The following is an 18,054-nucleotide window of genomic DNA, read 5'->3' as shown; positions in this document are numbered from 1 at the left end:
TATAAATAAAGAATAATGAGAACTATCTCACAGGACTATTGAACACCGAACAATAAAAGCTCAAGAAATAATAAATATTATATTGCTAGGTATGCCTTCTGGTTGCCTGACTGCTCTTCACTGGAGGCACAAAGCTATCTTTTACACTTTTGCTTATAATATTCAGAGAACTGAAGCATACTTTTATTTGACTTGGATTATCTGGATAAATTGTCTTAGATAGCTATTTGGTTTGAAACGTATAGAAAGAATCATTTTCTTACTTGTGGTTTTATTGTTTCCTAGTCTCCTAAGATCATGGTATGGTAAAAGATCAACTATAGATATGGGCAGCATGAAGTAGCAAATAAAAATTGACTTGGATAGATTTAGATTTCAGTTCTAGCATACAATTTTTTTCCCAGTATGTTTGTAAAACTGACTTATTTTCTGAGCCTCACACTTCATATCTTTAAGATGGAAATAACCAAGCCTCAGTGAGTGTAAAATCTGTTAATATATATAAAAGCATTTATAGTCTTAAAAGTGCTATAAAACACTGTTGTTATGATGTTGATAATGGTGGTGGCGATGGTACACCTTATCCATGTATCAATAGTTGGGACTAAAGAATACAATTTTTCTTCGGCGGGGGACAGAATTTCGCTCTTGTTGCCCAGGCTGGAGTGCAATGGCTCAATTGTGGCTCACTGCAACCTCTGCCTCCTGGGTTCTAGTGATTCTCCTGCCTCAGCCTCCCGAGTAGCTGGGATTACAGGCATGTGCCACCACTCATTTTGTATTTTTAGTAGAGACAGGGTTTCTCCATGTTGGTCAGGCTGGTCTCTAACTCCCGACCTCAGGTGATCCGCCCTCCTCAGCCTCCCAAAGTGCTGGGATTACAGGCATTAGCCACCGCACCTGGCCCAGAATACAATATTTAAATTGAAAAATTCACTGCATTTAAGAGCATACTCAAAACTGTGAAAGGAAAGATGGACATACTTGAAAATATTGCAACAGAAACTATCCAAACTGAAGCAAGGTGAGAAAAAAAGACTAAAAATAAGATACAAAATCAGTGAACAGTAGAAAAACAGCCAGCAATCTAACATACATGCAAGTAGAGTCCAAGAGAAAGCAAGAGCAGGATGGGGAGGAAGGAGGTAGGAAAATACTTAAAATAGCTAAACATTTTACTGGTTTAATGAAAGCTATACACTCACCAATCAGCTGACTAAAATCAGGACAAACCACAAAGAGAAGCACCACAAGCTATATAAAAATGAAACTACTGTAAACTAGTGATGAAGAAAAAACTTTAAAACAACTGGAGAAAAAATACATACTACACACAGGGGAACAAAAATGAGAATGACTGAAGCTTATCAGAAATGAAGCAAAAACAAGGTGTTAGAATTTTACTTTAAAAATTTAAAAACTGTCAACCTAGAACTGTAAATTCAGCAAACAGCAAAACCATCATTCAAAAATAAGGATAAACTTTTTAGAAAAAAAAAGCTGGGGTAATTTGTCAACAGCAGACTTACACTACAATAAATGCAGAAATAAGTTATTTATAATAAAAGAAAATAATATCAAATAGATACTTGGATTTAAAATATGCAAAAAAGATAGAACACAAGAATGCTACCTTGGGGGTAAATTCAATTTTTTTTCTCATTTAAAAAAATTATTTAGAATAAAATTAACAGTTTAAAACAAGAAGAAAATGTAATGTGAAATTTATAACATATGCAGAAATAAAATGCATGGTAATTCTCCAAAAAAGAGAAAAATGGACACATACTGTTTTAAGTTTCTTATATTATTTTCAAAATGGATAATATGATTTGAAGGTACATTGTGATAAATTAAAAATGGACAGGAGACAGAAAGTACACTGTTTAACGGTCTTATATGCAAAGTGGTAAAATATTATTTGAAAGTATATTGTTATGAGTTAAAGATTGTAAACCCATAAACAACATCTATAAAATAAAATAAAGAGCTGTAGCTAATAAGGCCATAGTGTGCAAACATTAAATAATATTCAATTAACATGGAAAAAGGTGGAAACCCAAAAGAAATAAGAAAAATATGGAACAAATAGAAAATGAATAGCAAGATGGTAGATTTAAACCCTACTATGCCCATAATTACATTAAAGGTAAATAGTCTAAATACTAAATTTTAAAACATAGACTGTTTTTTCATAGACACAACAACATTCCATCTAAAAGAAATTCACTTTAAAAGTAACAGGAAGAACAAAAATGTACTACATAAGTTCTAATAATAAGAAATCTACTGTGGGCATATTAAATCAGGAAAAAGAGGGATGCCAGGGTACAGAAAGCCATTTTATAATGGTGTTAATGCATCAAGAGGACACAAGAATCCTAAATGCAAGCATCACATAACAGCTTCAAAATATATGAGACAACATTTGATATAAATGAAAATAAAAATAGACAAATCCAAAATTATAGCTAGAGAGGGAAGAGAAGGCAGAAAAAAAAAGTTTATAAGAATTAATTTTTTTTATGCTTTCCAGCTTCCTTCTCGCATAAGTTTTCAAGATTTTGTAGTTCCATTGACGTACATGGTATCTCTTCTCAGAGCAGATCTTCAAGCCAAGAGCAACTTAGGCAGAGGTGATTCTGGCTACAAAGAGCTTTCAGGAGATTGGTGGGCTAGAATTTCTTAACTTTATCTCGGTTTGCCATACTAAATCTTAGGGTCCTTTTCCTTTACAGTCAGTTAGTTGCTCAGCCATTGCCAAACTGAATCGATGGAATTATGCATTTAACAGGTACTGAAACTACACAATCAATGCAATTAGTTTTGATGTTTTCTCCTTTGTGTAGCTGACTTCAGACATACAAGATATATTTTAACATCACCACAGTGGCTTTCTAATTTTCCACCTGCATCTTGAGTGGAGATTTTAAAACATAAAGCTTATCTTTTGGTTTTCCTTTCTGTATGTTTTCCAGCACAGCCAAAAGCAAGCCTTCTACCATATCATACAGTAGAAAGTAAAGAGAAATTAGACTATGTCTTCTCTGCTGCATTGCTCCTTTGCCATTGTTTTTCTGTGGACAGCTGCATTCCTCTGCAAATTCAGCTACTCCTGGATAGACTCTCACAATTCCAGCCTTATGGAACTTCAGTAATTCTATTTCCACATGCTGTCACTGCAGCTCTGAGTAGCTCAACATCCCCTGTGTCTTTCCTCAACCCTGCTTCACTTCTGTAAGTAGTCCCTCTATTACGTTCTGTTTATTTGAACTATTTGAGTGAATCCAGTCTCCTGTTGTAGCCATGACTGACAATCAGTTGGCATCAGGAGTTGGTATTCTCAAGATGGAATTTGCATCTGAGTCACTCATATATTAAATAAGTAAATAAATAACTTCCTTGTTGAGGAAGTCAGCACTGACAATTTGTGGCATGCAGTGACTTCTTTACTAGTCAGATTATTGGCGGAAGCAAGGAATGAGATGCGGATAGAGGGCGAGTCTTTGATGATGAAGGGGCTGTTGAGTTTGATAACTGGCCAGGCCAACAAAGGTGATTTAACAGCAGAATCTAGATAGGATGCTTTTGGAAGGATCATCCCTATGGTGTAGAGCAGAATAGAGAATTACAAGATATAAAATGTGAAAGGGCTGGGCACAGTGGCTCACGCCTGTAATCCCAGCACTTTGGGAGGCCTAGGCAGGCGGATCATGAGGTCAGGAGATTGAGACCATCCTGGCCATCATGGTGAAACCCCATCTCTACAAAAAACACAAAAATTAGCTGGGCATGGTGGTGTGTGCCTATAATCCCAGCTACTTTGGAGGCTGAGGCAGGAGAATGGCGTGAACCCGGGAGGCAGAGGTTGCACTGAGCTGAGATCGGGCCACTGCACTCCAGCCTGGGCGACAGAGTGAGACTGTCTCAAAAAAAAAAAAAAAAAAGTGAAAGGCTTTAGTATTTTTGCTATATTGTTAATTGAAACAATTCAACAGCCTTTTTCAGCATCAGCTATATATATATATATAGTCAATGGCCCTTTGATATTTAGCTACACGTTAGATAAAAAGGATAAGAATATATTTACAAGAACATGTGAAAACAGTACATTTTTTCTCACAGTCTGTGTGACGTTTTATCTTTTTCACATTTTTCACATGAAAATAGTCTTTAATCCAAATTTTGCGGGTAGATAATCACATTTATATAATTTTGCATTGTCATTTTGCCTCATAGATGTAAAAGGAATGAATAAAAAATAATTTTTAGGTCTCTTTTAATACCAAATAATTATGAACTATAATTTTTTTCACCATATAATTGGTACAGTAACTCCCAAGTTAGAAGTTAGAGATATAGTTTCTAGGACTAGCCAAACTTGCTTATTTGTTAAGACATTTTCCTCAAACTTAATAAATTCAAATGGATGAAAAAATGTGTGGGGGATTTCGATTTCCACAAATATGACTGACTACGGATCTTGCATCTCTCTTGATTTTTATTCATATAACAAATCAAAATGCTAAGTTGGGACACACAAATGGGCATGCATAACGTGTAAAGCATGGATGAGCCTGCATGAAGGTGAAGGAAGTCCATGTGGGCAGGACCTAGGCAGGAGCACAGCACAGGGAGGAAAGCTAGCATTGAAGCCACCAGACTCCCTGGGACCACACCCAGTGTCCTGTGGCCTAGAGTTCAAACCTGAGACCATCTGCATAAAGCCAGACCCCTGAGAATGGAAAAACAATCTACCTAACTCCTGTCTCAATTTTCATAAAGATGGAGAAAAAGTAAAAACTTCACCCCTGTTAATGTGGTACCCACTGGGCTGCCATGGTTGGGAACCTAAGCCCATACTGTTTATGCGAACCTCAATACACAAGCCAAAATTGTACTATAAAGAGGACCTGCGTCTACAGTGCTCAAAGGGATCTAGAAGAAACAAGCGCACATCCTACGAAGGAACATTCAGACTGACAGCTAGCTGAGCCACAAAAACAATGAGCAAAGCAAGAACACAGTGAAACGCCCTCAATGTGTTCAGAGAAAATAATGGGCAATGGAGAATAGTTTATACGGCTAAAGTATCTTTCGAGAATGAGGACAAAATAAAGACAAATGAGCAGATTTTGAAAGAGTTTACTTCTAAATAAGCCTCATAAAACAGCTTCTAAGGTTGGGCTTCAAAAACAAACAAAGAATAAGGTCCCATAAGGAAGGTCTGAAATGTATCAAGGAAGGGAGACAAGGAACACAGAGGAGATCTGACTCTTGCTTTTGTTAATATCAAACAATGTCTAATTTGTGGGTTATAAAAGCAAGGCAGAAATTTTAAAAATACAACTGCAAGTGTGATTTGAAAGGAATGATGAGAAATAAATCATTCTTAGGTCCTTGAATCTGAGGGTGAAGAAAGTAAAGACACTGATTAACTTTAGGACTTACGTTTTATACACACATTCAAATTTTAAGGGTGACTATTAAAATAGTATAACAAAGGACATAGCTTCCAAACAGTAATGGAGATGTAAATTAAATACTATCTTCAAAAGGAGCCATGAGGAAGGGGAATGAGGTGACAAGAAATACAGGAAAAGCAAGGCACATAGAAGTTTCAGTAATACTCATAACCAAGACTCATATACATAGTGCTCTGAATATATAGTGCTCTGAATTTTCCAGACAATGTTTGACATGTGTTAAATAAACCAATTCATTTAATGCTCACAGTGAACTTGTGAGGTGGGTACTATGCCGTTTTCTAGAGAATTTGTCTTACTGGATTGGAAAATAAAAACCTGTCCACTTAGAAGAGACTAACATGAGATCTATGTTGTTGATTCATTTTCCCATGTCTGTGATGTGATGGACATTTGGGTTGTCTCTCTTCTGGGGCTATGATGAATCAAGCTGCTGTGACCATTTCTAGGCAAGTATTTTTGTGAACCAGGTTTCAATTCTTTGGCACAAATATCTAAGCCTAAGAAACTGCCAAACAATTCTCCTAAGTGGTCGCACCGTTTTATAAAGCTGTTCAGCAGTATATGAGAAGTTTTGTTGCCCCATATTTTTGCCAAATCTTATTACTATTGGGTTTTAAATTGTAATCATTTTAGTGTGTGAATGGATAAATTGCTGTGATTTTAATTTGCATTTTCCTGATAACTGATGGTGTTGAGCAGCTTTTAATCTGCTTGTGGGTCATGTATTTTCTATTTTCAAATGTATCTCAATCTTTTCCATATTTGCAATTTTTCTTTATATTGTTATTATTTAATTGCAAAAATTATTTATACCTTTTGGATACAAGTTCTTTGTCAGACATATATTTTACAAATAATGTCTCCCAGTTGGTGGTTTGAATTTTCTTATGAATGTGAACTTTAAATATTTATATAAGAACATAAAGAATATGTCATATTTAGAGATAAATTTAAGAAAATAGGTGGAAAATGTCCACACTGAAAACTAAAACATTGCTGAGAAAATTAAATTTCTAATAAATGGTAAGGTATACTTTGTGATTGGATTGGAAAACTCACTATTTTTAAATATTAATTTTCCCCAAATTAATGCAATAGATTCAATGCAATTCCAATCAAAATATCAGCAGGATTTTTGTGTGGAATTTGGCAAGGTGATTCTAATATTTAAATGGAAACACAAACAATGATAGAATAGCTAGAATCTTATTTTTTAAGTAACACATTTCCATCTTTATTAATTTTATTTATAAAAATTCCATTCAGTGTATTAACTATATTCTTGGAACAATATTCTTTGATTAAATTAATTAAAAACTATTTTATGGGAGCTCTATGGAGGTATGCGTTCTTTAACAGATGGAGCTAAAGGGCATAAAAGTTCAAGCAGCCGATAACTGGGAATTGAATAACTTATGGATGTTTTGTTGAAGCTAATGTACAGTGAATTACACCTTTGTGTAAATGTAAAATTATTTTTATGAATATAATATTATACTATTTTGTCATTTTTTTTGAGATGGAGTTTTGCTTTTATTGACCAGGCTGAAGTGCAATGGTGCAGTCTAGGCTCACTACAACCTCAACCTCCTGGGTTCAAGTGATTCTCCTGCCTCAGCCTCCCAAGTAGCCAGGATTACAGATGCCTGCCACCATGCCCGAATAACTTTTGTATTTTTTAGTAGAGATGGGGTCTCACCATATTGGTCAGGCTGGTCTCAAACTCCTGACCTCAAGTGATCCACCCATCTCGGCCTCCCAAAGTGCTGGGATTACAGGCGTAAGCCAACACACCCGGCCTATTTTGTCATTTTTAACTTTAGCTTTTATTTAATATTCTTATTGAAACAATGTGATTTAATTATCAAATATTTATATAGCTATATAAAACCAAATCAGACCTGGCCCCACAGCTCCTCTTCATACTGCTGATGATCGCCATGTACAATTCTGGGAGGAGGGAAAAGAGATTAGAGACAATGAATGCTTTTCCTTTTGCTCAATATCGTTGATCAAATAATTTGTCTGCGCCCATATAACAGGCCTGAGAAAATGGTGTAGTTTTATTAGAGGTAACTTTCCAGAATCAATAACTTTGCTAATGAATATAAAAGCCTGGGTGCCTTGCAGCCCAAATTCATGCAATTGGATGGCTTGTTGTAATCAAGCACCCGCGTTAGCGTTCTGTTGTGATGAAATAAGTGCTCCGTAATTTAGTCCTCAAGTGCTTCTGGCATTTCAACTCTTTGTTGGCATATAAAGCATACGTTTCTCCTGTAGTAAAAAGTAATTTATTGACTTTAAAAAAAAACTTTATCACCTGTGATGAACAGACTATTGGCCTCATAAGCCTTTCTATTCAAACATTACTGGGCAGAAGTTGGCTTGCTCAAATCTTAGCAAATTGAAATTCAATCCAGATCAATAAGTTTTTTTTAATTCAATTTGGTCCTGGAATGGAAATAATCATCACATTTTATAGTAAGTGTGTCTAATTTCAATTTTCATACTCTATTTATTCTGTATAATCAAGCATAACTGCTGGCCTTGTTCCTTTGAGCTGACAAATTCGTGGGATAGATGTGCGCCTAGCAGGTAACTCTTTATTTGGGAGGTAGTAGGGAAAGACTGTGCTTAGACATAATAATGAAAATTTGATAAATGTCAACCTAGAACTTATAAGTGTCCCTAGGAATTTAAAACAATTCTATTTTCTCATTGTCTACATAGGTAACAAAAACGTATGCATAATGGTGCATTATTTTACTTAAATAGCAACTAGTTTGTCTCTATGAAATGCTTCCAACAGAAAAAAATATAAAGGACTATAAATTAGATGTAGTTCTTAGCTAAAATATTCTGTGATGGGCTATCAGAATTGAAGTAGTTAAATGCACTGTGTCAGTTAGCTTTTGCTGTGTAACAAACCACTTAACCTTACTGGTTTAACATGACGACCATTTATTAGCTCATTCTATGAAAGCAATTTCAGCTGCACTCTGCTTGGAAGTTCTGGTCTGGGCTAGACTTATGTGAGCATCTGTGATAACCTTGGTCAGCTTGTGGATCATCAGAGACCACCTGGCCACTCAGATCACTGGTGGTTAAACCATGGTTGGCTCAGGGTTGGGCGCAGTGGCTCACGCTTGTAATCCCAGCACTTTGGGAGGACGAAGTGAGTGGATCACCTGAGGTCAGGAGTTCGAGACCAGCCTGACTAACATGGTGAAACCCCATCTCTACTAAAAATACAAAAATTAGCCGGGCATGGTGGCACACTCCTGTAGTCCCAGCTACTCAGGAGGCTGAGACAGAAGAATTGCTTGAACCTGGGAAGCAGAGGTTGCATTGAGCTGCGATCACACCACTGCACTCCAGCCTGGGCAAAAAAGTGAGACTCCATCTGAAAACCAAAACGGAAACAAAAACAAAAATAAAACCATGCTTGGCTCAGTTGTTGGAGGCAATCATCTCATCCTCCAGAGGGCTGGTGGGCGCATATTTGCATAGTGGTCTCGGGTCTCTAAGTGTATCAATAAACATGCCTCAGCACATGAGCACTTCTCAAGTTGCTGCACATCTCATATTTGCTAATTTCCCATTTGTCAAAGCAATCTGGTTTCCAATCCCAGCGTCTGTGTAAGAGGACACTACCAAAGTGAATGAAGGCAGAGAGTGAGAGCAAATTGGAGTCACTGCTGCCATCAACCTGCCTCTGCCTGCACTACCAAAGTGAATGGAGACACAGAGTGAGAGCAAATTGGAGTCACTGCTGCCATCAACCTGCCTCTGCCTGCACTACCTCATGAGCTGTTCTTTCAGCACTCCCTCCTGCATATCCGTAGAGCACCACTTCCTGATTTCTAGAGCTGGGTTGTATTTGCGAATATTTCAACAGCCTTTGCCTAATTCCTGATAACAAAATAAAGGTACATTTATGAAAATATTTTAATTACCTTGCTATAATATAAAAGTTCCAAAATTTTTCTAATATATTAATTTTGAATTTTCAGTTTATTCTCTAGCTATTTTTCGAATTCTAGACTTACGTGACCATGCAAGACGTCCTACGTATTTTAGATATATTTGCAACATACTAAAATTATTTCAAGTTTTGACTCTGTTTAAAATTGCAATCCCAAACGATGTAGTTCCTCTCCTCCTTACCTTTTACTATTTTCTTCTCATGACACTCATCCTCCTTTAAATTCTCTGTAAATTATTGTGTTTATTGTCTGGTTTCCCCACATTGGGATGTATGTTATTTATACAGCCCAAAGCCTGAAATGAGGCCATTATTTGGTATGTGCTCACTGGATGCTTTTTGAGATGAATTAAATTGAGCTCTGCCAAAACACCATATACAAACCAGATGTACTCAACATTCATTCTTAAATTTAACTTAGATTGGATAGAGTTAGGCGTTGTAACTCTGAAGCTTATGTAGACAGTTGGCTTCCTCTAGAAATTCTTGATAACTATTCTTTCCCCAAATAAATACACAAATTATAAGAGTGACAGGGAAAGAGAAATCCAGGGTAAGGAACATGTATATATTCATACATACATGTATATGATGTTTAGCTTTACGTGCCCACTTAACTGGGCTAAAGGATGCCTAGAAAACTGGGAAATCATACTTTTTGCGTGTGTCTGTGAATGTGTTCCCAGAAAAGATTAGCATTTGACTTAGTATACCGAGTAAAGGAAATCACCTTCACTAAGCAGCTGGGCACTCCCATCCAATCCACTGAGGGCCCAAATAGAGCAAAAACACAGAGAAAGGGAGAATTTTCTCTCTGTTTGACCTAGGACATCCATCTTCTCCTGCCCTGGAGCACTGGTGCTCCTGATTTTCTTTTTTCTGTTTTAGAGCTGGGGTCTCTCTATGTTGCTCAGGCTGGTCTCAAACTCCTGGCTCAAGTGATCCTCCCACTTCAGCCCCCCAAATCGGTGGGATGACAGATACTGACACCACAGCCAGCTAGTGTGGTGGTCCTAATTTGTGGGCCTTTGGACTCAGACCTAATTATACCATCGGCTTTCCTAGTTCTTCAGCAGATCATGGGACTTCTCAGTCTTTAGAATTATGGGAGCCAATTCCCATAATAATCCTATAATAAATCTCTCTCTCCCTGTCATTCTTGTGTGTGCACGCTCTCTCTCTCTCTATGTCTCTCTTTGTATATATACATGGAGTCATGTGTCACTTAACAAGGGGGGATACATTCTGAGAAATGCGTTGTTAGGCAATTTTGCCTTTGTGTGAACATTCTAGAGTGCATTTACACACATCTAGTTGGCACAGCCTCCTACACACCTGGACTAGACAGTAGAGCCTATTGTTCTAGGCTGCAAACTTGTACAGGAGGTTACTGTGCTGAATACTGCAGGCAACGGAAACACAATGGTATTTGTGTACCCAAACATAGAAAAGGGACGGTAAAATTATGGTATAAAATATAAAAACTGGTATACCTGTGTAGTTCACTTCACATGAATAGAGCTTGAAGGACTGGAAGCTACTCTGGGTAAGTCACTGAGTGAGTAGTGAGCGCCTATGAAGGTCTGGGTAACAACTGCAAACTTCATGAAAACTACTTAGAGGCTACACTACATCATTAAAAAAGAAACGCTCTTCCTTCCTTAATAAATTAAAGTTGGCTGATGTAACATTTTCACTTCATAAACTTTTAATTTTAACCTTTTGACTGTTTTAACCTTTTGACTATTTTGTAATAACACTTAGCTTGAAACATAGGCATATTGTACAGCTGCAGAAAAATATTTTCTTTATATCTCTATAAGTTTTCCTCTATGTTTATTAATTTTTAGTTTTTTAAACTAATACACAAACACACATTAGCCTAGGCCTACACGGGGGTCAGCATCATGAATATCACTGTCTTCCACCTCCATCTTGTCCCACGGGAAGGGCTTCAGGGGCCAAACACACATGAAGCTGTCATCTCCTGTGATAGCAATGCCTTCTGGAAGAGCTCCTTAAGGAGGTACCTGAGGCTGCTTTACAGTTCACTGTTTTTGTAAGTAGAAATACACTCTACCATAATGATAAAACATACGATATAGTAAACACATAAACAGGTAACAGTCATTTATTATTATTGTCAAATATGTACTGTACATAATTACATGTGCTATATTTTTTTTTTTTCAGATGGAGTCTAGCTCTATTGCCCAAGCTGGAGTACAATGGCACGATCTTGGCTCATTGCAACCTCCGCCTCCTGGGTTCAAGCAATTCTCCTGCTGCAGCCTCCAGAGTAGCTGGGACTATAGGCACGCACCACCATGCCCGGCGAATTTTTGTATTTTTAGTAGAGACGGGGTTTCATTATGTTGGCCAGGCTAGTCTCAAACTCCTGACCTCAGGTGATCCACTAACCTCGGCCTCCCAAAGGGCTGGGATTACTGGCATGAACCACCGTGCCTGGGCTGTGCTATACTTTTATATGACCGGCAGCACGATTTGTTTACACCAGCATCACCACAAACATGTGAGTAATGCGCTGCACTATGACTTTATTCTGGCCACAGCATCACCAGGCAATAGGAATTTTCCAGCTCCACTAGAATCTCATGTCATGGTACCACCATTGTCTATGTGGTCTTCTGTTAAACATTGTTACGAGGTGCTTGGCGGGGTGTGTGTGTGTGTGTGTATGTGTGCACATATATGTGTGTGTGGATGTGTGTGTGTGCGCCAGGGTGTGGGTGTGTGTGTGTGTATATATGTGCGTGTGTTCTGTCTCTGGAGAACTATCCCTAATACGCTGTATATAACATATACATTTATGGATATATCTATGTAAAGACATGCATAGATACAGATGCGTGTATATGTAATATACACAGACATTTAAATCTGCAGAAAATGTATTTTGGATGAAATTCATTTTTCCATTTTTATTTCATAATTAACTTCATCATTCCAAAAGGCCCCACCCAGGAAACAACATTTGTAAAAAGTAATGAAGTAGATTTAATCTAGTTGAAATTAGTTTAGATCCAATAGTTTAAAGAGCCCTTGTTACTAATTCTCAGTGTTTTGGAATAACAGCTCTGTGTCTGGCTATATGCATCGTGGTTAAATGCACAGATTCTAGAACTGAATGGCCGAGAGCACATCCCTTGCTCTTTCACTCACTAATGTGACCTGGAGCAAGTCATTTACCACCTCCATACACTCATCCCTCCGTATCCGCAGGGGAGTGGCTCTAGGACCCCCAAAGACACCAAAATCTACAGATGCTCAAGTCCCTGATATAACAAGGCACACTATTTCATATAAGCTACACACATCCTCGCTTTTTCTTTAATCATCTCTAGATTACTTAGAATACCTAATACAATGTAAATGCTATGTGAATAGTTGTTATACGGTTTCGTTTAAGGAATAATGACAAGAAAAAAGTCTGTACCTGCTCAGTACAGATGCGATTTTTTTTTAATTTTTGAATATTTTCAATCTACAGTTGGTTGAATCCAAGGATGTGGAGCCCACGGATCCAGAGAGCCAACTGTACTCAATATGATTTTTTACAGATTCTTCCATATTTCAAGCACTGTGCAAGGCACTAGAATAGAACAACAGACAAGACCTACAAGAAGCCTCTTGGGGCTGGGCGCGGTGGCTCACACCTGTAATCCCAGCACTTTAGGAGGCTGAGGTGGGCGGATCACAAGGTCAGGAGTTTGAGACCAGTCTGGCCAACATAGTGAAACCCCATCTCTACTAAAAATACAAAAAATTAGCCGGGCGTGGTAATGCGCACCTGTAATCCCAGCTACTCGGGAGGCTGAGGTAGGAGAATCGCGTGAACTCAGGAGGTGGAGGTTGCAGTGAGCCAAGGTCACGCTATTGCACTCCAGCCCAGGCGACAGTGTAAGACTCCATCTCAAACAAACAAACACAAAACAAAACAAAACAAAAAAGAAGCCTCTTGGACTTAGTCTGGTGGTAAATAGACAATGACAAGGCAGTGGTGTGTGTTATGGTAACACAGTACCAAGCGCTATGGGATACTGTGGACACACACATAAGGGCTTCTCCACTTAAACTTACGAATTTATGGAAGATTTTCCCAAGTCTGTTACTCGAAATGAAGATAAAAATGAGGAATAGAAGTTAACTATATAAAGTATGGGTTGTAGGTAGGAAGGAAAAATGCTGTAGAGAAAAATGCTTGATGCTAGAGATGACATGGTGTGGTTTAGGAACTGAAAACAGGGCACCTGGACTGCAACTAGACTGAGGGCGGCAGGAAGAGTGGAGTCAAGACTGAATGGTACAGAAACAGTGTGTAACATAGAGAAGTTCATTTGAGCTTTATACATTCTGACTTGCCTTTCAGAATCGATTACCTTAAAAATAGCTAATTTGACAGCTAAGCCTGGTGGCGGCGCCTGTCGTCCCAGCTACTCGCGAGGCTGAGGCAGGAGAATGGCGGGAAGCCGGAAGGCGGGGCTTGCAGTGAGCCCAGATCGCGCCACTTCACTCCAGCCTGGGCACAGAGTGAGATTCTGTCTCCAAAAACAAACAAACAAACAAAATATATATATATATGCAAATATATATATATGCAAATATATATATATATGCGCATATATATATAATTATGGCCAGGCACAAAAACATCTGGAGTCCAGAGGATGGCACCAAATATGACTTCCCTTTTCCTCTCAAGCAGACAACGGTTCGCCACAGAGAGCCCACCGAGACGAAAGGGCATCAGGAGCCGTGTCTCCTGGACGTTGCCTTCCACTCCCTGTGCTTCCTCTCATCCAGCTTTTCCTCCCTGCTTCATGTCTCCTCAGTCGTTTCTATTCCTCTATCTGCCGCCAAAGGGCGGAGATGCCTTCAGGTCGTGTGTAGAAACCCCAGACGGGTTTAGTGAACCTGAGAGCACAGGGTGTGCCTGAATCCTGAGGAGATTCCAGGAAAGCCGCAGCGCCCCGTGACCCCGCGCGGCCCAGGAATCAGCGAGCGGAGCGTCTTTTTCGTTTGTCTCAGCTGTCAGGTGCCAGATTGACAGAGACCCGTACCTGACGGCCTGAGAACCCTAGAGGGCCAGGGAAGTCGTCACGTACTTCAGCTTGCCAGAGAGGGATGGAGAAGCCGCTGACGGAGGCCTGTGACCATCAAGCGGGCGTGTGGCCAGAAGAGAGGGTTCCTCTGGGAACTGGCAGCTGAGACCAAACAAAATGGCGGACACCCCCACAGACGCCCCTGTGCGGAGGAGAGGATCGCCAAGGGTGAGAAACCTCCCCCCACCTCACACACGTGGCGCCAGGAGGGCCGCCAAGAATCTGACTTGACTCTGGACAAAGAGGGTGCTTAAATGGCCAGAGGAGACTCTGAATATTATTAATATGTGAGTTTTCACTACTTGATGGAAAAATCCACAAAAAAAATGACATTCAGCTATAAAAGAAGTAAATTGGCCACTTCACCCATGAAATTTGTCTGGGAATCTTTATCTGCTCTACCCGCAAAGGCTCTGCTTCCGCCTTGTCTCTCTCTCCCTCTCCCTCCCTCCCTCCCTCCCTCTCTCTCTCTCTCTCTCTCTCTCTCTCTCACCCCACTCCACCAAAGCAGAAGGGAAATACAGACAGTCGGATGAGATGCATAGAAGATCATCCTGTCAAATAAAGGCAATTTTCAGCGATGGAAAAAGGAATATTTTTATGATCATTATTGTAGGTATGTTTTTGTATCGTATTCAAAAGCGTATCTTGGCTACAATAATTAATGTAACATCATTAGGAAAAGAAAACCTCAACATGCCTCCTCTTCCTTTCTTTACTCACAGAATAATGGAATAAAAATGTCTGTGAATAAACTCATTCTTTTGCCAATGATAAGAAAGCATTTTCTTAAGAAAAATTAGAATCCTCTATTTTCCATTCCTGCTAATTATTTGAATTTAACTCTTGGGTCTGCTATCTAAACAAGTCTACTAGGATGTACTGAAGACAAATATAAGGATTTAACAAAAAATATCATTAGTTAATCTAATTCCAAAGAGCAGAACTTTCTTGGAGAAATTAACAGTGAAAGGAATATTCTATCAAAGGTATTTTTAATTTTAAAATGCTGAAGTCAAAAGACTGATTATCTCATAAAAGGAAATAAAGAATCATCAGTAGCTTTACTGACTGCTTTTTCTTAAGTTTTATTATTGTTTCAAAGAACTTTTTTACACGTTATCAGAATTTGAGAGAAAATATTGATTTATTATCTTGACCCATTCAAGCTAAAAATATATTACTGAAACTATTTTAATCAAATGTTTGCAAATTATATATTGCTTGAATTTTCAAAAGACATTCGCTTTAATAAATATTGATTTTTAACAAAAACATTTTATTTCTTGAAAGTTGACAGATACTTTTCGTTTCTTTTCTTAAAGACAATTAAATACAACAAGCTTTGTGGAAAGAAAACATTGGCAAAATTCAGTTAACTATAAATATAGCCAACCTCCTGAAAGGAATATTATGAAGACTAACAAAGTCAGAAACAAGCAAATGCACAGTGGTTATTATTCCAGTCCAAATTATGATTACAATTGTGTACAATTTCCTAGTCAAAACCAATTTCTTATTTGTTCCCAATTCCGGATAGAAACCTTAAAGTAAATTACAAGTATGAGCTAAGTTTTCTTTGCCAGTAGTGTTTGGCAAACAATCGCCTTGTGATCACTGTAGATGATCAATTTAATTAGATGTCAGAATCAATGAACCACAGGCGAGTGAGGTGAATTGCAACCATGAAGTCTAACCCTTTTTCCAAGGCAAAGATACACTGAATTTGAGGTGTTTATTGTTTTAGCTTTCCATGATTTAAGACTATCATCAGAAGGCATAGCCTTCTCTCTTTAGAATCTACAGTTCTGCAGTGCCTACAAATTGTAAATGACATGTGAAGCTTTCACAAATTTGCTCTGAGTTATTAGGTATATAATCCAAGCCCATGTGGAACTTTCCCTTATGGAACTCCTCAGGGCTGAGCGCTCCCCACATATTTGCCAGCATGACTGAACTGGGGTTGTACAGAGAAGTGAGGGCCTAGAAATGTAATGGATGGACTTTAGCCACAACCTGTCTGATATGAGCACACAATTCCAGAGTCGGTAAGTCAGGCTGATTAATGGAAGTGAGCAGCTCAGAATAAGTGGCAGTTCAAAGACAATAAATCTCGCAGTGTAGCCAAGCTCTAGCCCATTCTTTTTTTTTCATGGAGTCTCTCGCTCTGTTACCCAGGCTGGAGTGCAGTGGCGCGATCTTGGCTCACTGCAACTTTTCGCCTCCCGGGTTCAAGTGATTCTCCTGCCTCAGCCTCCCGGGTAGCTGGGACTACAGATGCACACCACCATGCCCGGCTAATTTTTTGTATTTTTAGTAAAGACAGCATTTCGCCTTGTTAGCCAGGATGGTCTCCATCTCCTGACCTCGTGATCCACCCGCCTCGGCCTCCCAAAGTGTCAGCATTACAGGTGTGAGCCACCGCGCCTGGCCTTAGCCCACTCTTTTGAAGATGACAGGGAAGCAAATATGTGGCACAGTGAAGACTGTGAGAAATAGAACTGTCTCAGACAAGTGTGCATACTCCAAATACAAGTACAGAAAACATCCAAGACTACTAACAGAAATCAGGAAAAATATCAAATCAGAACATGGAACACTGCAACTTCTCATTTTAGAAAAAGACAATGTAGTTATTTGAAGTAAAAACACTTCCAAATTTTCAATGTATTGTTTTAAAACATGAATGCACTGAAGACAAATATAAGGATTTAACAAAAAATCTCAATCTGATTCCAGAGAGCTGAACTTTCTTGGAGAAATTAACAATTGAAAGAATATTCTATCAAAGATATGTCTAATTTTAAAATGCTGAAGCCCAAAGACAGATTATATCCTAAAATGAAATGAGCTATACTTCTTTTTGTCTTGAGGGAGGAAAAGTTTTTCAGAGATGAGAATCTTTTCTGAAAAATTACTATGTGTAATGTTCAAATAGCACACACACATGCATACCTGCTAACTGCTTTTTTGTTGATCTTGGCTTCTCCAAATGCTATGATGATATAATAATCCATATGGGGAAAGAGGATCTTCAGTTTCTTTACATTCTGAACTGGGATTGATAGATTTCATTTGGCTTCCCCAACACTGATACTGGGAGATGCAAACTTTCAGCGGAAGTGATCTGGTTGAAGGGGCAGAATGCAACACTCAGCACTAGCTGAAACACGTTAACCGTGTACAAGGCCAGAAGCCTGGGGATATTGGAAAGCAGGAAGACCGGAAGTTCGGACTTTGCCAAGCCTGTGGCCCTCTCCCTCTCTTCCCAGACAATGATGTATCCTGTGATTACTGGGAGTCATAGATGGGAGGTTGGTAGGGTCTCCCCTCAGACACAGAGAATAAAGAGTAAGAATAAATGAGTTAATTCTCTTTTAAGAATCTATTTTTTTTTTCTTTCTTAAGAACCAGAACAGCTGGAAAATATTTAAGCAGGGCTTAGTCAGCCCTGAAA

This window comes from Homo sapiens, chromosome 4, assembly GCF_000001405.40.
Source record: "Homo sapiens chromosome 4, GRCh38.p14 Primary Assembly".
NCBI lineage: Eukaryota > Metazoa > Chordata > Mammalia > Primates > Hominidae > Homo > Homo sapiens.
This window is presented reverse-complemented; position numbering follows the sequence as displayed.